The sequence below is a fragment of the Homo sapiens genome, chromosome 19 (assembly GCF_000001405.40).
Source record: "Homo sapiens chromosome 19, GRCh38.p14 Primary Assembly".
Taxonomy (NCBI): Eukaryota; Metazoa; Chordata; class Mammalia; order Primates; family Hominidae; genus Homo; species Homo sapiens.
In genome coordinates this window covers 28,599,395-28,622,671 of record NC_000019.10, presented here as the reverse complement: position 1 = coordinate 28,622,671, position 23,277 = coordinate 28,599,395, and the positions used below count along the sequence as shown (strand labels likewise).

The window sequence follows — 23,277 nt, the reverse complement described above, 5'->3', positions numbered from 1 at the left end:
CTCTTTTGGACGCACTTTCTCTCTCACACATCTCTGCTTGGCTTTATTTTTTCCTCATTATAGATAGACGTTTTCTATGTGTTGAAAAGATAGCCCCTGGCAGCCCCAAATTAACAACTTTTCATCTTAGAAACTCTTTTTATATTGCAGTTGCTCTTCCCAACATCTGTATATTTGTCCCAGGAAAGGATGTTGATTGGTCTTGGTTGAATCATATGTCCACTCCTGAGCCAATCACTGCCCTGGGTAATGAGATGCTATGATTGATTATTTGTGGATTATATGCCCAACCACAGAAAGGGAATGGAGCTGGGCAGTCCCAAACAATAGCTATTATCATCTACTACGGCCCAGAGTGAGATATTGTGGGAACTTTTCTCTCTTTTATGGTTCCATAGGAAGGGTATTTGGTTGGTCTTAGGAAACTAAAAGGGAAGTATGGATTTCTTTGGTGGTTGAAAGCCAGCTTAGGTTCTAGGTATAGATGGCTGATTGAATGTGTACATCAACTAGCATATTAGTGCAGTTCTGAGCGTAAACATTGAATGTATACATCAACTAGCATATTAGTGCAGTTCTGAGCGTAAACAGAAAGTAAGAAGATTTAAAATATAGATATGTGTAAACTCATAAAAAGGGAGAGGAAACAAAAACGTGGAAATTTGGGGAGTTGAAAAGCACATGGACAAGTGGGAACTGATTGCTTCTCCCCACTCTGGCTTAGGAGTCAGCTTTCTCTGGTCTGCTGAGAAGCAACCTGATTTACACTGAAGAACCACTAAAGGCTCGGAAATTGGCACTTCCAGGTACTTCTGGAAGTGGAGGTAAAGATGAGGCTTGAAAAAGCAGAAAGTATATTTTCTCAGAGAGGATGAAACACTAGGCATGAAAGACAGCAGGGATGCTGTACTGAAAATGGGGTTATATAAACATTTCTATATTGAATGACCCCTGGTTTTCTTCTCACACTCAGCTTCCAGGATGCTGACTGCCAGGCCTGTACTCTATAGGCAGGGGTTTAGAGAAATTTTTAGGTCTCTCTTTTTGGTGGGTTTCCCCAGAGATACTGATATTGGAGGTTCTTTAAGGGAATGCCCCATGACTCCTCTCTGGTAAAGCCCATAGTTGATAGATCTCATCAAGCGATTGAGCCTCCAATCAGTGTGTTAGTGTCCTGACCTTAAATTACACAGACAGCTCAGGATCTCCAGACAGCTGAGGAAAGCCTGTTACATGAAAGAAGTCAGCACAACCAGAAGTGTCCTCAGATTGCCTTTCCTCTCTGTTTTATTGTTTTGTTATTGTTGTTGTTGTTGTTTTTGAGATGGAGTCTTGCTCTGTTGCCCAGCCTGGAGTGCGATGGTGCGATCTTGGCTCACTCCAACTTCTGCCTCCCTAGTTCAAGCTATTCTCAGCCTCCCGAGTAGCTGGGATCACAGGCACCTACTACCATGCCCAACTAATTTTTGTATTTTTAGTAGAGACGGGGTTTCACCTTGTTGGTCAGGTTGGTCTTGAACTCCTGATCTCAGGCGATCCACCTGCCTCAGTCTCCCAAAGTGCTGGGATTTACAGGTGTGAGCCACTGTGCCTGACCTTTATTGTAGATTTTTAAATATTTGTCATCCAACACTTCGGTAGGAATTTTTATTCATGTTCTACAATTTTTAATGTTCAATACTTTCTTGTTCTCTGAATGTTTCTTTTTATAGCTTTTTTGTTGTATGATAAAATTTTATTATACGAAGGACAAAGGGAAGATACTAGAAGCTTCCAGGAAGGAAAAAAAGATGTGTCATATACAAAGGATCAGGAAACAGAATGGCTTGAAACATTTCAGCAGCAATACTGGAAGCTAGAAGACAGTGTTGGTTTAATGCCTTGGAAGATTGGAAGGACGATACTTTTCAGCCTAGAAATCTTCATCCAGCCAAGCTATCAAGCAAATGTAAGGACTGAATAATGGCTTTCTTAGACATTAAAGTCTCATGTACTCTTTGATATCAAATTATTAGGAGATGTGCTCCACCAAAAGTAGGGTTTAAATCAGGGGAGTGTGAAAAACAGAGAATGGAAATGCAGGATATCTAACTGAAGAGAGTTGTGAAGGAAATTCTCAGGTAGAGAATGAAGGGAGACCCCAGGGCAACAGCTGTGCACCAGATATGAGGGTGATTGGTCCAGACTGGAGCAAGTCGAATGGTCTGGAGAGATTCTTTCAAGAAGACTCACGTTGGAAAGCTGGCAGGAAGGAAAGTAAGGTATGGTGGGGGCAGGGGAGCTGTGAAAGAAGAATGTTCCAATTATGGAAGATCAGAGATGATACCTAAAACTAAAAGCACACTATATTGGTCCTTTTTTATATTTCAGAGATATCAAGGTAATATCAGATGAATCAGCTAAACGTTGCAAGTGGTTGTCTCTGGGAGTTGAGGGTGGGAGGAATAGAGAGAGGCAGAAGGCTGCTATTTTTGTAGCAAGTCTTGTAAGTGTACTTGATTCTTAAACTATGAGTATGTATATCTTTTTGATCAAAGCCAGTTTAGATATCATGCCTAGCTCCCTCTGCAGCTGCCCATTCAGTAGCTGGCTGTGTGTTCCTTCCCAGAGAGTCAGTAGCCCCGTGGCTGGTGTATGGTATATACTGCACACAGAGCACCTGTTTGTGGTAACTGCAGCTGGCAGCTACCCCCGTCTTCTTGCCCACCGCATCTCATCTCCAAAGCCAGTTGCTTCCTTGTTGAATTAAACATAATTTCTTCTGTCTCATTTTGATACTGAACATGGCTTTGAGCATTTCCCTGAGTCTGGAGCGCATGGCTCTTGACAGGAGCTGTTATGAATGCTGATGGGAGTATGGGAGGATAAGGGATTTGGTGAGTGCAGGGGTGAGAGAAGCAGGGAGATGGAGGGCGTAGCCCCTGGCTGGGTGTTTTAGATTGTAGCTTGATGTCCAGCAGTCTGGCCCCGAAGTAGAGATGTTGTGCTGCTTGTCCTGACCAGCTTGTTGCCTACACAAGTCTTGATTCTGGTGGCTGGGAGAAAGCCCGACTCACCTATTTGTCTGAGGCTCTTGGGTGGGTTTTTGGCGCTTAGGTTTCCCTGCAGACACTCCTGGCAGAAACTTGACTCTACTTTTCTCAAGGCTTGATCCCAACTTCACCCTCTCCAGGAACCTCACTGATTCCCTTGTGGAGGAGAATTCCTTCCTTTTTTTGTGCTCCCATATATTCGTATCTTGGTCATTTTAAGTTTATCTCTCTTTCAAACTTATGTGGCCTTTATAGGTTCCTGTCATGTCTCCCAAATCACTCCAAACTCAGTGGCTTAAAACAACAGCCATGAGTCTAGCTCACGAGTCTGGAGAGCAGTTGGGCAGTTCTGCTTATCTGGGCAAAGCTTAGCTGATCTCAGATGGGCTCACTTACATGTTGTAGTCAGTTGAGGGTCATCTGGGGACTGACTGGTCTAGAAGGCTTTCACTCCCAGGTCTGGAAGTTAGCTATTTGTCACTGGTTGTCCAGAGTTCTCATCCATAAAACCTTTCATCCTCTAGGAGCTAGCTTGAATTTTTTCACATGGCAACATCAGGGTCCAAGAGACAGAAAAACCCTCAGTGTCCCTTGAGGCTTAGGTTTGGAATTGGCACAACATCACATCTCCCACATTCTGTTGGCTAAAGTCAGATCTGATTCAAGAATTAAGGAGATAGATGCCATCTCTTGATGGGAATTGCTGCAGTGACATTACAAAATCACAAAGTCAGGGAGAGAGTGGGGGATTGGGACGAATTTTGTAACCTACAGCAAGTAACAAAAAAATCTAATGTTTTTGGACACTTAAAACAGCGCCTGTTATACAGGGAGTGTTTTATGTGTTCCAATCCCATTGTGCCTGAGGTTTCTCGTCTTTGAAACTGGATGGTCGTAGTACTTACTTCATGGGGTTGCTATGACAATGACATGAGATAGGGAGCATGCCCAGGGTCATGTGGCTGCTAGGTGTAGAGGCTCTGGGACTCAGTGCAGTGCAGTGATTGTCTTACTCTTTCCTGTCATCCACATGGGGACATGCCCAGGACCTGGCACAGAGCAGGCCCTTCTAAACAGGAATCTAACTGGATGAATACATACATATGTGCCACAACCAAAAAGGGAATATCTGAGAACTTGCAGAATATCTTCCCACCCCACCTGTTTTGTTATTTAATTAACAACAAACAATTTGTCAGTGATAATCTCTGCCAGACAAATTGTCTCAGAGAAATAGGAGGTGAGGACTTCTTCATCCTGAGGAGGAAAAGATGGGGCCCTCAGCTCCCTTCAGCCCCATGTTTTCTTCACTTTGGTGAATATGCCACCCTCCCTATAAAATCTTCCTGTGTCACTGCAGTCCAAATGAACATCTGCTTTCAAGGTTTTACAGAGCTAATTACCTCAGATGTTTTCTGAGGCAGTCAGACCCCAAAGAGTTGAAAGCAGGATTAGGCCAAGCTATAACATAACACTTTGTGTTCCACATTCTAGTATATCACATTAAATACAGTATCTTCTCATATATGCTCATATGCCCACCTGTTTATTGAATCTTCATTCACCAATTCATCATCCATTGATCTATCCACTCATCCAGTTATTCATGCAATCCACTCATAAATTCATGTACCCACAAATCTACCATTCCCTGTACCTGACCAAATGAAACTCCGTCTATTTCTACCGTGTTACTTTGGCCACCCATTATTTGTGTGTTCATTTATCCATTCAGTCATCAGTGTATCTATCTTGCATCACCCTCCTATTCATCTATATATCTGCCCTTCCAAATATCAGCTCGACTTTCCCTACATCTATCCCTTCTTACCGCATTACTTGATTCTTCCATCTGCCCATTTAGTAGCCCATCACTATGTTCATTTATCTAATTGTCCATCTATTCATCCATTTACTCATTTCACCCTTATGTTCATGCTTACTGAATTCTCTATAATTTTTTAAATAATATATATATTCACACATCCCTTCATTCCCTTTTTCCCCAAATCAGTTCTTGCTTTCTCCTTCCATCTACCCATTTTTTTACTTATTTATTTATTTATTTTTGAGATGGAGTCTGGCTCTGTCGCCCAGGCTGGAGTGCAGTGGTGCAGTCTCGGCTCACTGCAAGCTCTGCCTCCCAGGTTCACGCCATTCTCCTGCCTCAGCCTCCCAAGTAGCTGGGGCTACAGGCGCCCGCCACTACGCCTGGCTAATTTTTTGCATTTTTAGTAGAGATGGGGTTTCACCATGTTAGCCAGGATGGTCTCGATCTCCTGACCTCGTGATCTGCCCGTCTCGGCCTCCCAAAGTGCTGGGATTCTACCCATTTATTTATCCCTACTGTCAAAGTTCTATATGTATATTAATTTATCCATCTTTCTAGTTATTCATTTTTTTCTTTCATTTTCTATCTTCTTTTTATTCTTTTATGTATGTATTTATCTAGGCATCCACTCCTCGATCTCTCTGTTCATCTTCTTTCATCCTTGTTATTTCTTCCCTCCACCCGTCCACCTCTTATTCCTCTATTCAGTCTATTATTCATCCATCCATCCATCCATCCATTTGTCTCAGTTTGTTTGGGCGGCTGTAACAAAAGTACCTTATAGATTGGGTGGCTTAAACAAACATTTCACAGTTCTGGAGTCTGAGAAGTCCAAGATTAGTGTGCCAGCAGGGTCCAGGTTTTCTTACATTGTGGAGAGGAAGCTGTTGCATGTCTCTTCTTATAGGGCACTACCTCATCATGAAAGTTTCACCCTCATGACCTAATTAATTCCTAAAGACCCACTGTCTTAATACCATCCATCTGGGGGGTAGGGTCTTAACATATTAATTTAACACCATCCATTCATCTATTCTTTCCTCTGTTCTTGGGGGTCCCAATGAGAATTCTGTCTTCTGGACTTGTTTGAATAAGGGTTTTTATCAGGGGACTTCATGGGGGTAGTTAGGATAGGCATTTGGGGGAAAAGTTACAGAAGAAGAGACAACATATTTGTCTGAACTCTGTGTGTTTGTGTGTGTGTGTGCAAATGTCAAGTTCAGGGGGTAGGTTATATATGCTATGATCAGTGTAAATGTAGAAAATCTTAGACATAGATATATATTCCTCTACTTACTAAGTAATTACAGCCCAGTAAGATAAGCACATTGATTACATGTTTCTACAATTTGACTTTAATCTCCATAAGCACAAAAACTAAGCCTGTCTTGGCCAATTTTGTCCCAGTATTTTGCAGAGCGTCTGCATGTGTAATACTAAATACTAAATTAATATTTATTGAATAAAGAGTGCAGGATTTGTAGTCTGTCACAGAAGTAGAGTTTTTAGAAAAGAAAAGAATGCAGAATTTGTGAACAACTTTAGATCCCACTTCAGAGAAAAGCACTGGGGATGATTCAGCAAGGTCCCATGTGAGCTGGAGGAAGATCATTGGTCAGGAATGGGAGTAAAGTTAGCCCTTGCTCTCCTGTACAGAGCATACAAATTCCACGGTGGGTGGGGGGTGACTTGGGGCTACATTATGACTTTTGTGGTTAAATTTTGCAACTGCTTTGGTATAAAGACAAATATATACCATTATGCATTTTCTTCAATTTAAACATTCATTTTTTTTCTTCTAATTTAAAAAATCTTGTGTGCCCCTAAGTGTGTGCCCATCTTGCCTAATGGATACATGGTCCTTTGTGTGGCGGGGCAGTGACCCACAGGCTGCAGCAGGAATCCAGGGCTCTCTAGAAGCGGATACCAACAATAACCAGTTTCATCGCTTTTGTATTTTCTTTCTTTCTTTTCTTTTCTTTTTTTTTTTAGACTGAGTCTAAATGTGTTGCCCAGGGTGGAGTGGAGTGGCACAATCTTGGCTTACTGCAACCTCTTGATCCCCTCCTGGGCTCAAGCATTCCTCCCACTTCAGCCCCATGAGTAGCTGGGACTATGGGCACAAGCCACCACACCAAGCTAATTTGTGTATTTTTTTGTAAAGATGGGGTTTCGCCATGTTGTCCAGGCTGATCTTGAACCCCTGAGCTCAAGGGGTCCACCCTCTTTGGCTTCCCAAAGTACTGGGATTACAGGCATGAGCCACCACTCTCAGCCACCCTTTTTTATTTCTTCTATTGAGAAAAAAGCCATTTCAAGACAGCCTTCACTTTCCCACAGTAAACACCCCACCTTTATTAATACTCGGCCAGATTTTCTAAGTAATAACATTAGCTGATGATGGTGAAGATGATAAGATTTTGCGTGTTGTATCAGACACTGTACAAAGTGCATTTTCCAAACATTTTGTTGTTGGGAAACTTCAGAACTTCAGTGTTCATAAAAGTGTGGATCTGACTTGAGAAGAATTGGTTCTGTAGCAGGACGAGCCACAGACAAAACCCTTCAGACACCGGGTTAAAGAAGGAAGAGGCTTTATTCGGCTGGGAGCATTGGCAGATTTGTATCTCAAGAACCGAGCTCCCTGAAGAAAGGGTTCCTGGCCCTTTTAAGGGCTTACAACTCTAAGGGGTCCACGTGAAAAAGTTGTGATAGATTGAGCAAGCATGGGGTACGCGACTAGATGGGGTGGTGACCAAGGCAAGTATTTCTCCATACCATTGTCTGCATGACTAGGTAGGGGTGGTGAGGAAGGCAAGTATTTCTTCATACCATTGTCTGTGATCTATGGATAGCACAAGCGGTTGGGGTGGGGGTTAATCTTTAACCTACAGGCCTGGCCAGTGGCGCCAATCAGTCTGTTATTTTTCAGTTTTTACTTTCTCCTTTTCTTTGGAGACAGGACAGTAGGAGAAATAGCCTCTCTCCTCATTTCCCCCTTTGAGAACCTCACTCACTAGTGGGAGTTCTCATTCTCATCCTCACTATCTAGATCTTCCTGTGAGACAGATTAATAGTGATTCATGTATACTTGTGCTGAGGTGTTTTGATGAACTAAGATGGTAACGAAGCCTCTTAGTAACTGGAGAAATATGTGTAACATACAGGGGAGTAACATGCAGGTCCTAACACTATTATTATGCCTATTACAAGAGTTTTAAATCCTCCTAGAGCTGGAAACCATTTTCCAAACAAAGATCCAGGATCAAACCTATGCCAAATCTGCATGGGCACATGTGCTGGCTTTGTCATGTCTCTATATTTTCAACTACTTGTCCTTGATCATCTATTTGTAGACAGCAATTGGTCAAGTTGAATTTTCCACAGACTCCTCCTTCAGTTGCCAGCAAATAGTCTAAGGCCAATCTATTCTGATAGATGGCATTTCTCATTTGGGTTTCCTGCTGGACTAAAAGAGTCAAAGCTCTGCCAGTTTCATTAGCGATTATTTCTAATATGGCCTGTAACCGTATGATCTGGTTGAGCATGTAGATGGGGGTTCGGTATCCCCACGAGCCGTCTTGTGCTCGTGTGGCAGGCCTATAGTACTGTATGATCCTTTTGGGGGGCCACTCATCATCTTTCCAATTTCCTATAGATATGCTCCTCTTTTCTCAGGCATAGACAGGGAAACCTAGGAGCTCACCTGTTTTTACGGGCAATAGGAAAAGGGATGGCTTAATGGTGCCAATGACACAACTACTTCCCCATTGATCAGGTGACGGAGTGTAGGCTCTGTGTCTACATATCCAGTATAGTCCAGAGGGAGCCGTCCGGTCTCGATGAGATTCTGGATGGACCTAAGCAGTCTGTAATTTAGGAATTTTACTGAAGGGATTCTTTTCAGTATGGTTTAGACCCCACCAGGTGACTGTCCCTGTTGTGCTGTTATACAGCTTCTGTCCTAGACAATTGAGCCTTCCTACAAGGATGGTGAAGTCTTTTCCTTCTCTAGCTATGCAGTATTATCCAATAATCAAGGTTTTCAGGACCCAGAAGTTGCTAATTTGGGCCTTCTGGACTGGAATTATGTCAGGAACTGGATCAGTAGGCACCAATTCCCGGGCTTCCCAAGGCCATTGGTCTCCCATAGTGGTTCCCCCACATACATAACAGGAAGTAACATTGAGGGAATGAGCTACATTTCCTAATAACTGGAGAAACAAGTTCTTTGTCTTTGTGTGTGTGTGTGTGTGTGTGTGTGTGTGTGTGTGTGTGTGTGTGGAAGCTCTGGTGCTGGCAGATTCAATTCATCGTAAAAGGTCTGAAACACTGGTTTGGGAAAGCACCTGTGGACCTCCCCTTGGATTAAAATATTTACTCGGAGATCCAGTCCAGTTCCCTCAATTCCTAGAGTTACGTACTCTCCTGTTTTCCAACAGGGATCAAGGAGATTGGTAATTAGTAGTTCTAATGGGTTACAATGACCACTAGTGCAGGAAGAGTTACTCTTTCCTTTTTGAAGGTGGACAGGGTCCCTCTTATCTTTTTTTCCAGGTGGCCTAAATGACACAGGACCAGTAACTACATTCATCACTACACATTCCTAAGTCATGACAAACATACTTATTTTCTACTATATAGCCCCTTTCCCAATCTAGAGAGCCACATCTTATCCTATTTCCATACAGGTCACTGTTGATTGCTGCACAGGCATCAAATTTTAAGATAATTTTTTTGGGGCTCCTTTCTCTTCTGTTCCAGTTATTTACTCATATCAGCTTTTCCCCAGCTGCCAGTCCTCAATCTTATTTCAAAAACGGTAGTCATAGGGGGCTCAGATGGGTTATAACACACATCAGGCTGGTAACTTCCTGGGCTACATACCTTGTATAGAGTAGCATTATACAAACAAGTTCCTTTTAGAGTCCCGGTACACTCATAACAACTATAAAATAATAGGACTGCAACAACCTTTTGTCCTACCTCAGTGACTTGATGTATACACTGGGTACAGTCCTCAGTCTGAGGAAGGTCAGTTGAAGTCCTTACTGTACAAGTTCAAAATTTAAGGAAAATGAGTCTCATGGTGAGTTTCCTTATGCTTTGGCCATGCGTGGACCAGTCAGCTTCCGGGTGTGACTGGAGAAGGGTTTGTCGTCTTCTTCAGAGTCACTTTGCAAGGGTTGTCTGGGCTTGGTCTTGCTTCCCAGGTCTCAGGTGCTGCAGGTTTTACATGGCTGTGGTGGATCCAGGCTGGGATTCCCTCTACCTTTACAACTGTAGGAGTGGTCAAGATGATGGTCTGGGGTCTTTTCCACCATGGCCGCAAGGGGGCTACGTTCCAATCCTTGATCCACACCCGATCACCTGGAGAGAAAGGGTAAACTGGGAAGAATAAGCTAACAGGGCACTTCTCATTTACCCAGGCTGAAATTGTTTGTGTAATTTTTCCTAAAGCCTGTAGCTATCTCTGTAACTCAATTTCACCTAGCCCTCGAGGAGTGCCTCGGAGTCCCTGTAGTATGGGAGGGGGCCTATGGTATAATATTTCATAAGGGGAATATCCTGTTCTTTTAGAAGGGGTACATCTAATCTTAATACCATAGGGAGACCTTGTACCCACTTTAATCCTGTTTCTTGACACACTTTACCTAAACTATTTTTGATAGTCTGATTCATCCACTCCACGTTTCCAGAACTTTGTGGTCAGTAGGTAGTATGTAGTTTCCATGTGATCCCAATACCTTTGCTCTCTTCTGTACCAAGTCAGCCACAAACGCCAGCCGGTTGTCTGAGCCGATTTGTAAGGGCAGTCCAAACCTAGGGATGAGATCTCGGAGAAGCACACGGGTTACTTCACGAGCTTTCTTGGTCCATGTTGGATAGGCCTCCACCTACCCAGAGTATGTACACATTAGAACTAGCAAATACTTGTTACCTCCACATTTGGGCATCTTGGTGAAGTTTACTTGGAGATCTTCAAAGGGGGGCTGCTCCATAAACTTGTATGCCGGGTGGGACAGTTGGACCTTGCCTAGCATTGTGCTGCCGGCAGGTGACACTGCTACACCACTGTTTTGGCCAGGGCTGACAGATGCAAGATGTAGAAGTACTGGCCTAACAACTTTTCAAGTGACTCTTGGCCTAGGTGGGTGGTCTCATGCACAGCCAGTACAACTGCGGCTCCTAGCAGTTGTGGCACAGCTATTCTTCCGTCTGATAACCGGATCCATCCCTCTTCTATCACCTGCCCTCCCTCTGCCTGGAGAAAGTCCTTCTCTTCTTTAGAGTAAGTAGGTACAAGGTCAGGTGCCTGAGGGAGCAGGGGGGCTGTGACTGATGCCCGGGAGGGGGTGGATGCTGCTTTTTGAGCCCCTGAGTCAGCTCAGGAGTTCCCCAAGGTGATCAAGGTGGAAGCTCACTGGCGTCCTCTGCAGTGCATGACTGCCACCTTTTGGGGCTTCCAAACTGCCTCTAATAATTGCAGGATCCCTTGCTAATATTTTACGTCTTTTCCCCCAGAGTTCAATAGGCCTTTTTCCTTGTATAATGCCCCATGCACTTGGAGAGTTAAAAAGGCATACTGAGAGTCAGTGTAAATGTTTACAGTCTTACCTTCACTTAGCTCTGAGGCCCGAATTAAAGCAATGAGTTCGGCCTTCTGGGCTGAAGTGCCCTGGGGCAACGATTTGGCTTCAATGACAGCATCCAGGGTTACCACTGCATATCCCACACACCTCTCTCCTTGTGAGTTGACAAAGTTGCTCCCGTCCACGTACAGCTCCCAGTCTAGTGACATCCAAGGATGGTCTCGGAAGTCGGGCCTGCTAGAATAAACTGAGTCCAACACCTCTACACAGTTATGTTCAACTGGGCTCTCTGACACTGGGAGCAAGGTGGCGGGGTTCAGGGTGTTGCAAACTTCAATGGTTATGCAGAGATTCTCACAGAGCAAGCTTTGGTACCTAGTCAGTCTGGCATTTGTTAGCCAATGATGACCTTTGGTGTTCATTAGTGTTACCACAGCATGGGGGGGCCTTTATGTTTAGGTTTTGCCCAAGAGTTAGCTTATCTGCCTCTTGTCCTAGCAGGACAGTTGCTGCCAAGGCTCTTAAGCATGGGGGCCAACCCTTAGAAACTCCATCTAGCTGTTTGGAGAGGTAGGCTACCGGTCTTGGCCAGGGCCCCACCATCTGGGTTAAAACTCCAACTGTCATTTTTTCTTTCTGACACATACAGTGTGAAAGTTTTTGTTAGGTCAGGTAGCCCCAGGGCTGGGGCTGACATGAGTTTCTCTTTTAACTCATGAAAAGCTCGTTGCTGTTGGGACCCCCATTTGAAAGTTTCCTTATCTCCTCTCTTTGTGAGTCCGTACAGGGGATTAGCCAATACTGCAAAATTTGAGATCCACAAACTTTGGGATCCACAGCTCTTAGGAGCTGCAGAACCCTACAGCTCCTAAGAATTCTCTCACCTGCCTTCTGGTCTTAGGCTCCAGCAGGTTGCAGATGACTTGCTTTCTTTGTGATCCCAGGCTGCGCTCTCCCTGTTGGGTAGTAAATCCCAGGTAACGTACCTGCTGTCTGCAGATCTGAGCTTTCTTCTTGGACACCTTATACCCACAGTCCTCCAGGTGCCGAAACAGGGTATCCATTCCCTTGGTGCACCTGACTGCCTAGGTCTCTGGCAGGAAACTTCTGGAAGTCTCAAGCCAGTGCCTCCCCGAAGATGGTGGGGGAGTTCTTGAACCCTTGGGGGAGCTGGGTCCCAGTGTACAGAGTGGTGACGCCTGACCCTGGATCCTCCCACTGAAAGGCAAACAGTTTTTGGCTCTGAGGGGCTAGTGTGATGCTAAAGAAAGCATCTTTTAGGTCCAAGCAGGTGAACCAGCTGTCCTCAGCTGGCAGCAACCCCAACAATGTGTACGGGTTAGGTACCATTGGATGCAAAGTCACTGTAACTTGGTTGACCATGCGCAAATCCTGTACTGGCCTGTAGTCCTTGGTCCCTGGCTTGGGAACAGGTAGGAGGGGAGTGTTCCATGGAGACTGACAAAGGACTATAATTCCAAAGGCCCTCAGGCACTTGAGATGGACCTGTATGCCCTTAAGGGCTTCTCTGGGGACCTGGTACTGCTTTTGCCTGACCAGCTGGGCCCCAGACTTAATTCTATGAGTATGGGGGCCTGGTTGATTGCCAACCCTGGAGGGTTATCTTCCACCCACACTGTTCGTCACCGCTTAGCCAGAGCTTGTCCTATCTCTTGGCCTGGCTCAGATAAGAAGAGTCTCCATTCCTCCTCCCAAGGAACTATAAGGGCCATGATGACTCCCATTCTAGGTAACTTTAGCTGTAAAGAGCTGTGCTTTATAAAAGAGATAGTGACTCTCAGCTTGCTAAGTAGGTCCCTTCCCAGTAAAGGCAAGGGGCAGTCAGGCATGTACAGGAACTGGTGAATTACCTTATGCCCCTCCACAGTGCAGGTCCGAGGGAAACAGAAAGGTTTCTTTGCTGAAATCCCTGTGGCTCCAATTATATCAATAGTCTTTTTGGATAAGGGGGTGACGGGGGTGGTTACTACTGAGTGTTCAGCACCAGTATCGACAAGAAACCCAATGTCCTTGCCCCCGACTGTCATCCTGACCATGGGCTCTTTGGGGGCACATGAGCCCGGTCCCCCTCAGTCCGGTAACCCTCCTGCCAGATTGAACAAGGTCCCTTCATCCTTGTCTGAGGCCTCCTGCTCAGAGCCACCTTGTTTCCCTTTCAACTGGGGGCACTTGTCCTTCCAATATTCTATTTCCTTATAGTAAGCACACTGGTTACACTGCAAACGTGGATGGCCAGACTGGGTATTTTTCCCGGGGCCCCCTTCTCTCGCCCCTTTGGGGGGACCCCTCTAATAGCTGCGGCTAGCAGGTTGGTATTTCACCAGGCTTGGCGTTCGCTCTCTCTGCGGTTCTCTCTGCAGCTTACCACATCTCTATTCACGAACACCTGGTTGGCTATCTCCAATAACTGAAGTGTTCATGCCTGCAAACCCAGCCTGTTTCTGTAGTTTTCTTCTAATGTCTTCTGCACTTCGACTAACTAAAGTCATGCTAATCATGCGCTGATTTTCAGGGCTGTCGGGATCAAAGGGAGTACACCTACAATAGGCCTCACATAGTCTCTCGTAAAATTGTGCAGGACTCTCATCTTTTCCTTGAATGACCTCAGAGACTTTGTTAACATTTGTGGCCTTCTGAGCTCCCTTTTTTTGAGCTCCCTTTTTTTAACCCTTCCAGAAGGGCTTCCCTGTACCAGTTTAGCCTTTGCATACCCTGTCTTTCATTTGAGTCCCACTGGGGATCTGTTCCTGGTAATTGGATCCTCACATACTCTTGGGGTTTTGGTAATCAGCCGGAACATGTTCCTCTAGCCACTTAGTTGCTGCTTGGAGCACCCTTCGCCTTTCATCCATGTTAAAGAGGTACATGAGCAACTGGTGGCAATCAGCCCAAGTAGTGTTGTGGGTCTGGATAATAGTTTGGAGCAAATCAATTATAGCTTGAGGTTTTTCAGTATAGGATGGGGTATTGTTTTTCCAATTGAGGAGATCGGCAGCGTTGAAGGGTTGGTACACAAAGGCATGCCTTTCCACCATATGCCCATCCTTGTCTACCCCAGTATACCATTGCTCTCTCAGGGACGTTTGTATCCCAGTTCTAGACCTCAAACGGGCTGCCAACCGAGGGGTTTCTCCCAAGGTCTCGCATCCTTTCTTTTCTACTCTGGGTGGCCTAGGGGTACGTAGGTCTTGTGGAAGCTCAGGCTCAGTGGACTCAGGAGGGGGAGGCCTTCCTTCTTGGTGAAAGAGGGGGGCTACTGGCACCATTTCTTGCCATGAATTCTCTGATGTTGGGTCGGACAGGACTTTAGGAGCCAACTTCCCTTGGCGGGTGGAGCAGGATTCTTCCTTGGCTGTCTGTCCCTTTGCCATTAGTACTGCTGCTGCCTGTCCTCTTAACCACCATGGGGGGCCTAAAACCAGCTGTAACCAAGTGTCTATGTATGGAAACTGGGCTGGGTATCCTGGCTTACCAGTTACCTTGTGCCATACCTTTGAAACAAGGGACCTGTCTAGGCTTCCTTCTGATGGCCAACCCACTTCTAATGCTGGCCAATCTATCTCACACAAGGTCCTAAGTTTTCCTGGGGTCATATTAACCCCATAATCTCCATTAAAACCTTTTTTGAAATTCTTTAACATAGTTCCTAATGGAGTGGGCTTACTTTGCGTCTCACCCATCTCCACCACCCTCACCCCCGCCAGACAAAAACAATGCTCACAACACAAGAAGGGAAAGGGTAAAGGGGTCACTCACTTGCCTCGCCTGACACTGGCCACTTCCCTTGCGGGAATCTCAGATCCTCTTAGGCAGGCTGGTACCAGGCACCAGCACGAACCGCCACTTAGCTGTACGAGGTATCCTACGGAACTGCAGCTCAGGGCTCAACACTCACTTCGGACGGCAACCACTGTCTATCTGTTGCCCATCCCAAACAAGCATTCACTCACTTTCACTTTCCTTTTTTTCAAACAAGCCGAGCCAAATCAAAATCAAAACTGAGACCAAAGTGCCAATAAGGGCACACCATGGGTGATCAGGCCATGCTTCCACTCAAATGGGGTGGGTAAGTTCCTGGGACCGGTCCTACCATATTCCAGATGTCCGGACTCCACGTGCCAGTTCCTTCCCAGTGTTCAGCCCCTGTGTTGATCCTCCGTGGGGGCCTGCCATGCACCACTCTGATGAGGCATTCCACTGGGGCAAATGCCTACCCAGGAGCACTCTCAGGATCCACATTGCTCAAGCTGGCCGGAGTACCCCACAGGGATGCTCCGCAGGGCAAGGCTAAGCCGCCTAAGGGGCTGCCTCCACTGTCCCTTAATCACCTCACTTCCCGGTCAGGAAACCAAGAAATGTAGCAGGACAAGCCACAGACAAAACCCTTCAGACACCAGGTTAAAGAAGGAAGAGGCTTTATTCTGCTGGGAGCGTCGACAGACTTGCATCTCAAGAACCAAGCTCCCCGAAGAAAGAGTTCCTGGCCCTTTTAAGGGCTTACGACTCTAAGGGGTCCACGTGAAAGGGTCATGATAGATCCAGCAAGCATGGGGTACGTGACTAGGTGGGGGTGGTGAGCAATGCAAGTATTTCTTCATACCGTTGTCTGTGATCTATAGATAGCACAAGCGGTTTGGGTGGGGTTTAATCTTTAACCTACAGGCCTGGCCACTGGCGCCAATCAGTCTGTTATTTTTCGGTTTTTACTTCCTCCTTTTCTTTGGAGATGGGACAGTAGGAGAAATAGCCTCTCTTCTTAGTTCCTCTGTGGTCCTTGCCCACCCAGCACCCAGCTCTTTCTTTTCTTGGAACAGCACTGCCATGTCTCTTTGGCAAACTTTCCTCACTCACTAAGGAACATCTTGGTGAGATTGTCACCCTAGCATGGGCATATGACTCAAGCATGGACAATTGGACTCATTTTCTTGGGACTTTCAGTCTTGAGGGGAGAATGCTAGATAGCAAAACATCATACTAAAAAAAAAATGAAAAAATTGTAGAGAATGCAGAAAAGAATGGTTGCAGCGGGTTCTATTGTTGGAATGAATAAACTCTGAGAGAGTTGTCAACTATTTTCTACCACCCAATGCGCTGCACGGTTCCCATTCTAATTTTAACCTGCTCAGCTGATTCTTTAGTTAATATTAAGTAGAAAAAGAACTTGTTGGAAGGATAGCAAGTTGCTTAGAGCCAGTTTTCTTTGTTTGTAATCAAACAACCTTAATGGATACCGCCCTTAAAGAAGCACAGTTGTAGTGGCTGGAAGTAGAGTGTGCTTTACTATTTAACAACAAAAGCTGAAACCTTGCAGCCTCTGAGCCTAAGATCCCATTTAGTCAGAGAAAAATTCTGCAGCAAACCTCCTGAGATAACTCCCCGGAACAGGAAGATAACTTCGGAAGCTTAGTTTATTTCCATACAAATGGAATTTTAAGTCCTTATCAGGGTAACAGAAACAAAAAAGCATGTCATACAGACACATTTAGGGTAGCCTGGTTAATTCCTTCTTCTTTTGGAACAACTACATTATCAAGATGATGCTTCACTGCCTGTTAGACTCGCTTCTGCTTGGAAGCAGATGAATTGATTTTGAACTTCTTTTGTGATATGCTTAGTGCTTTGTCAGTAAAATTACTGTAATATCTTATGCTATCTGTCATATTCCCTTCTCGCAGCAGGAGCCATCTCCAGCCAGAAGGTTCTCTGGCCTACATTTTCAGAGTGTTCACAATGCAAGCTCACATTCTACAATGCTCTGCTGGCTGGCTGGGGATAAGGCTGAGAAGTGGGTGGTGGCCCGGTTTTTAATTTTCACAACCAGAGAAGAACCATGAACCTGGATGGTGCCTGGGTTGGAGCATTGATTAACTGAGGTGGTTTTTTTGCAAATATCCCTATCGTAGAGGCCTAGAGGGTCAGGTGGGTGGGGCATTTGCCTCAGGAGCAAAATTTAAGGGGGTATCAAAAAACTGAGCAATCAAAGACAAATAATATTGAAAAATCAAAATTAATGCAAAATCCATAATGAATCAAATCTCACATATTTAAATAAAGCCGGCATCAGCAACAGCACTGTGCTGAGCCATATTGGAGCCTGGGCCGAAGGAACAGTCTGTGAGCTGCTCCCCTGCCGCCCCTGCCTGATCTTTCTCCTCCATTTCCCCACTGCAGCACTTGAGCTTCCAGCTCTGTTTCACCCATGGACCCGGACTGACACAGGTGGTTCAGAGGTGGTCTTTTATGGCAAACCCTCTGAGGCCTTGTACCACTGTGGATATTCCACCCTCATTTTTAAATGATAGTTTAACTGGATAAGAAATGCTGAGTTAATTTTTTTTTCTCTTCACTACTTTAAATATATGAAAAGACCAAAATGACATTTGGGTGTGGCTGTTGAGACATCTGTCATTTAGTTCTTTTTCCTGTCTTGGTATCTACCTCTTCACTCTGAAGTTTTAAAGGTTTCTCTTTGTCCTTAATATTCCCAAATATCAATGTAATATTTCTTAAACTCTTGGCTTCAAGCGATCCTCCCACCTTGGCCTCCCAGAGTGCTGGGATTATAGACGTGAGCCACCACACTCAGCCTATATTTTTCTGTGTGAATTTTTAAAAATCTTTCCTTATTGGCACTCTATGAGTTCTTTCAATATATCATCATACGGTCTTGAACATTTCCTTTATTCTTGGAAATTTTCAGTCATTTTTTTTTTTTGCAGAAAGTATTCCCTCTTCTCCTTTTTCTTTTGTCTCTCCAGGTAGGACTTCTGTCCTATATATGTTGATTCTTCTAATTCTGTGCCCCACATCCTGTAATTTTTACATTTTGCATCCCTATCCCTTTTCTAAGAGTCTAAGTCAGTGGTTCTCAAACTTGGCTGCACGTTAAAATGACCAGGGGAACGTTTACAGTTTCATACCCCAAGCTACTTACTCAGAAGCTCTCTGACAGTAAGGACCAAAGTGTAAGTACTTTTTAAAGCTCCCAGATCCCTCCAGTATGCAGTCAAGGCTGAGAACCATATCACTGCTTCTCAGACTTTACTGTGCATACACTTCACCCGGGAGTAGTGTTAAAGGCACAATCTAACTCAGGCGGTCTGGGGTGAGTTCCCAGGGGATGCTGATCAATGGGTCTTATTTTGAAGAAACACATGGCCTTCTGACTCACTGCCCCTCTACTCTACCATCAGCCCGTCTATTGAGCTCTATATTTCCATCATTCTCATTTCCATTCTCCAAATTTCTAATTAGATCTTGTTTATAATGGCTTAGTCAGTAGCCTTTCATGTTTTTGTGTTTATTTATTATGCTTGTCATAAATTATTCTGAATATCAACGATAAACAAAGCTGGACACTGATTAAAGTGGTGAGGCCAGATTTTAATCAGCAATAACTATTGCAGTAGGGAAAAGAGTTCCGCAAGAACTGAATGATTCTTTGATTTGTGCAGAGGGGAACAGGTGTTTTAAGAGACAGAGAGGGCATAGGGATGGGAAAGCAGAAGCTTAGCAGAGTTAGGGAAGTGAAAAATGCAGACTGTGTAAATGCAACTAGGTCACCTGTGGCTGAGGCTGGCAGTTACTGAGGTAGGATCCTGTCCTTCCTCAGAGAGCGGGAGACAGAGACTCTATATTGTCTTCAGGTGTTGGCTGAAAAAAACAGTAAATCTTTTTGGCAGCCTTGAGTTTTCTCAGGTGGGCACTTTAAGTGGGCCCAGGGTCATCCTAGGGATATGGCCTTGAGCTGTTAGAAACCCTGTGAACAGGCTGGGCGCAGTGGCTCACACTTATAATCACAGCACTTTGGGAGGCCAAGGCTGGAGGATCACCTGAGGTCAGGAGTTCGAGACCAGCCTGGCCAATGTGGCAAAACCCCATCTCTACTAAAAATACAAAAATTAGCCATGCATGGTGGTGGGTGCCTGTAATCCCAGCTACTGGGGAGGCTAAGGCAGGAGAATCGCTTGAACTCGGGAGACAGAGGTTGCAGTGAGCCGAGATCATGCCATTGCACTCCAGCCTGGGGGACAGAGCAAGACTCCATCCCCAGAAAAAAAAAAAGAAAGAAAAGAAAAGAAAAAAGAAACCCTGTGAGCGTTTGGTTGAGGCCTGGACGAGAAGAGGGTTCAGAGGAGCCTGGCTGGAGATTGGCTGAGGAGAGAGTCTTTGTCAGTGGAGTGCAGGTTGTTGGGTGTCATACTCTTTCTTTTATGGAGGAACATCCTTCGGTGTCTCGTTATCTTTCCTCCCAGAGTTCATATTTCCCTGGGGTAATCAGCCACCTTGGCTGCTAAGTGAATACCATGGAGTATATATTGGGCTAAAGCCCAAGCCCTAGCTCATGTCTCTTCTGGTAAATTTAGCAAGGGGTTGGTAGGAGGACTAGGGGCAGGCGATTTAGGAGGAGAAGGGGTGGTGCTTTGTGGTAGAGATGGCCCAGGCTTATCAGCCCCATTCTCCCTTTGACTTCCCACCTTATCTTATTAAAGTCTCGGCACTTTTGTCCTAGTCCCTCTCCGTTTCAAGAGCTGTCATCCTTGGCTGTAATCACCCAAACCTGAGGAGTGGGAGGGAGGTGGGCTGGGGAAGCGGGGAATGCACAAGGCCTGCTGGTCTACCTGCATCTGACTCTGTCTCCCCCCACCCAGCCAGGCTCCTTGTCACGACTGCCTCACCACTACCACTGCGAGACAGAAAATATCCCAGCAAGAATAAATGGACAGGCACAGACCACCCAGAGAAAGGCTGGCAAAAAAAAAATAGCCGTCCCTGACCTGTCCCTGAAAATGACACCTGGTCCTTTGGGCTGCTGTCTCTCTCACGTCGGGACCCAAACTTCTGTGTTTCCTGGATGTCTGTCAGTGTCTCCTTCAGTGTTTCAGGTCCATCAACCCTAATCTCACAGCATCTGTAGATGCGGTTTCAGGTGGAGGAGCCAGCAGCCTGCATGAGGTCCCCAGCCCATCAAGACTTCCCAGGGATCTGTCTCCGTGTGGGCCCAGCCTGACTTGGTGCAGGCAGCCTTCAGAGGAGCTGTCGCTGCAGCCATAATCCCAACCATTGCCACCAGCTCTGGAAACAGTGGTGACAGCAACAGTAGAGGTTCAGCCTCCACTTTCATGGAGCTTACAGATGGGTCAGGGAGACAGCCAGGCAATTGTGATCGCATATAGTGAATACTAGGAGGGTGTTACGGGAGCACAGAGTAGGGGCTTGAGTCCCAGGTGTGTGCATGTGCGTGTGTGGGTAGTTATTGTGAATGTCAAGGAAGACTTGCCTGAAAAGGGTGACATCACAGCTCATGCCTGAAGGATGATTTACAGGGGAGTCTTCTAGGTAGGGAAAGTGGCACAGGAGGTGAGAAAGAGTACAGTTTGGTAAACCAGAAGGAGTAGGTGGGGCCAGGATTCGACTGTGGCAGGTGAGGCTGGAACATGTGAGTGCAGGGCAGATCATGTCTTTATTTTAACTTCTGGTATCTGTTAACCATGGATCTTTTGCACTGATTTTGATTTTTTAAAAAATATTGCATTAAAATAACATTTGTCTTGATCACTGAGTTTTTTGTTGCCCCTTTTAATTTTGCCCCTGAGGCGAGTGCTTCCCTTGCCTTACCCTAATCCTGGTAGGTGGGTGTGGTTGCAGCATAGATGTCAGAGAAGGGTGAGTGAAGAAAGATGAGGCTGCCAGGTGGAGTGGAAGCCAGGACATGAGGGCCTGCATGCCTTGCTAAAGATTTTGGACTTGACTGGGTGTGGTGGCTCATGTCTGTAGTCCCAGCACTTTGGGAGGCTAAATCAGGAGGATCACTTGAGCCAGGAGATTGAGACTGGTCTGGGCAACATGGTGAAACCCTGTCTCTACAAAAAATAAAAAAGCCAGGCATGGTGGCACACACCTATAGCTCCAGATGCTCAGGAGGCTGAGGTGGGAGGATCGCTTGCACCTCAGAGGGCTGTGATTGTGCCACTGCACTACAGCCTGGGTGACAAGTGAGACCCTGTCTCAGGAAAAAAAAGTATTGGGACTTTATATCTCAACTCTGCTGAAAGGGTAATGCATGGCTGCCCTTGAAGCTGAATTTGGCTTTGTGAAAACCAGGTTGGTTGTAAGGGGTTGGAGGGAGCAGCCTGGAGAAAAATGCTTTCCTCTTCCACCAACTGCCTCCAAAGGGGGCATTTGCTCCACACTCGGGCAGCCCAGCTGTCTGGCCTTGGATGTCACAGCCCCTGCCGGAACCTGAGAGTCGATCTTCTCACCACCCATTCTCCTGCTACGTGCAGCAGGTGGATGCAAGACTAGCTCATTGATTAACAGGTCGTTGGGGCTCATCTTTCCCATGCTGCATTTTATGTTGCAGAGGGCCTGTTAAAAGAATATCAATGACATTGTTAATGTAGCAATCAGGATCTTCTGGGGGAACCGAAGCTTTAAGAATCAATAAAACATTAAAAAAGGTTAAACACTTTACTGGATAAGTCAGAACATATTCCTTAATGATAGAGCTTTGAGGGAAAATGGAATATGAAAAGACAAGGCAATATCACTTTGTAATGGGGAAACACTGCATAAAAAAAGATTACTTCCTCAGTCTGATACTTGGATTCAGTGTGTACACTGGTGAGGACTGCAGGTAGAATAGCGGGATGAGGCCTCTGCGGGGAGCGTAGTGAGGGGGCTGGAAGAGAAGAATGCCAGGCAGAGTCCAGTGCTTTTGCTGGCTGTGTGACCCAGGGCAAACCACCCAATTTCTCTGAGCCTCAGTCTCTTCAGCTTATAGATTCTGCTCCTTATGGGGCTGTTTTGAAGATCTGATGAAATAAAGGGTTTCAAGTGTCGAATGCACATTAGAGTTTTTGTCTGTAATCACAGTGAGTAGTAATCTTAGGACGGAGCCTCTGCATTTGCAGAGGAATTAGAGAAAAACGCTGTGCGGTGACACAGCTGCAGCAGTGGGGGCTTCTCCCCCAGCACCTGCAACAGGGCTCTTGGTGAATAGGAATTGCTGCTTCCATGTATGTTCAGTAAGATTCCCGTGAATTCCTTATGCATTTCCATCTGTGGAACCTTCCTTACCCATTGAGTTCCTTCTCCCGGGAAGCACTCCTGTCTCTCCACTTCTGATTATGGTTTGCAAACCCCACCCATCCTTGGGGCCAGTTAAGGCATGGGAGTGGGCTATGCTCCTGCCCTTCTCTCCCAGCTCCCCGAAGCTGGGAGGGGCTTGAAACTGTAGATGCCTGATGGAACTGTCAGAATGACGTTTTAGTGGCATTAATTGGGAAATGTAAGTTTTCATCTCTGACTTCGACATGTGTAGCAGTTGTAAAATGTATTAGAAAATAAAACAACAACAACAAAAAACCTATGGGCGAGTTGGAAAAACCTCAACATCATCAAGACTTCAATTATGCTCTCAGAAGCACCTTCCTCTCCCAGAGAATTCATCCTTGTAAGTCTGTGAGGGCTGAGGCTGTGTGCTCTCCCACCTCCTCCGAGAAGCCCTTCCTGGCAATTCCAGCCCGCCGTGGCTTGTGAACTCTTCAGCCACCTGCTGTTTTTATTTCACAATTTAGCCTTAAAGGCAACATAATTCTGAATGCATCTTTAGTAGCTGTGCAAGCACCAGTCTTGGTTTTCTAAGGAGACCGACTTCTCCAAAGGCAGGACTACATCTTCTCTCATAAACCCCAAGGTGAGCCAGGCCAGGCCTCTCTAAGCACATGTTAACTGATGTCCTGAAAGGGTCACAAGCTTCCAATGGCTTTCCACTGAAAGAAGGTTCTGGAACTACTTT

General features: G+C 45.6%; 2 long non-coding RNA genes and 1 pseudogene across 3 annotated transcripts in view, besides 1 other annotated feature; 2 read left to right on the top strand and 1 right to left on the bottom strand.

Annotated features, from left to right (window-relative positions):
- LOC100420587 (SHC binding and spindle associated 1 pseudogene) overlaps nt 1–23,277 on the top strand; it is a 292,307-nt pseudogene that overhangs the window by 105,023 nt on the left and 164,007 nt on the right. The gene's annotated exons all lie outside the window — the stretch shown is intronic.
- LOC124904681 (uncharacterized) lies at nt 1,687–21,039 on the top strand. Its single transcript, XR_007067212.1, has 2 exons — nt 1,687–1,948; nt 20,129–21,039. It is a non-coding gene; the product is annotated as an uncharacterized LOC124904681 (long non-coding RNA).
- On the bottom strand, nt 7,443–15,984 carry ERVE-5 (endogenous retrovirus group E member 5). Its single transcript, NR_135636.1, has 4 exons — nt 15,568–15,984; nt 12,341–12,412; nt 10,518–11,690; nt 7,443–10,233 (listed from the first exon to the last, which is right to left on the bottom strand). It is a non-coding gene; the product is annotated as an endogenous retrovirus group E member 5 (long non-coding RNA).
- Nucleotides 15,562–16,761: an enhancer, noted in NCBI's record as "CDK7 strongly-dependent group 2 enhancer chr19:29096818-29098017 (GRCh37/hg19 assembly coordinates)". NCBI's record gives its function as "activates an origin of replication core promoter dependent on BRD2, BRD4, P300/CBP, MED14 and CDK7 cofactors, with strong dependence on CDK7, by STARR-seq in HCT116 cells {active_cell/tissue: HCT116}" and the evidence as "EXISTENCE:reporter gene assay evidence [ECO:0000049][PMID:35650434]".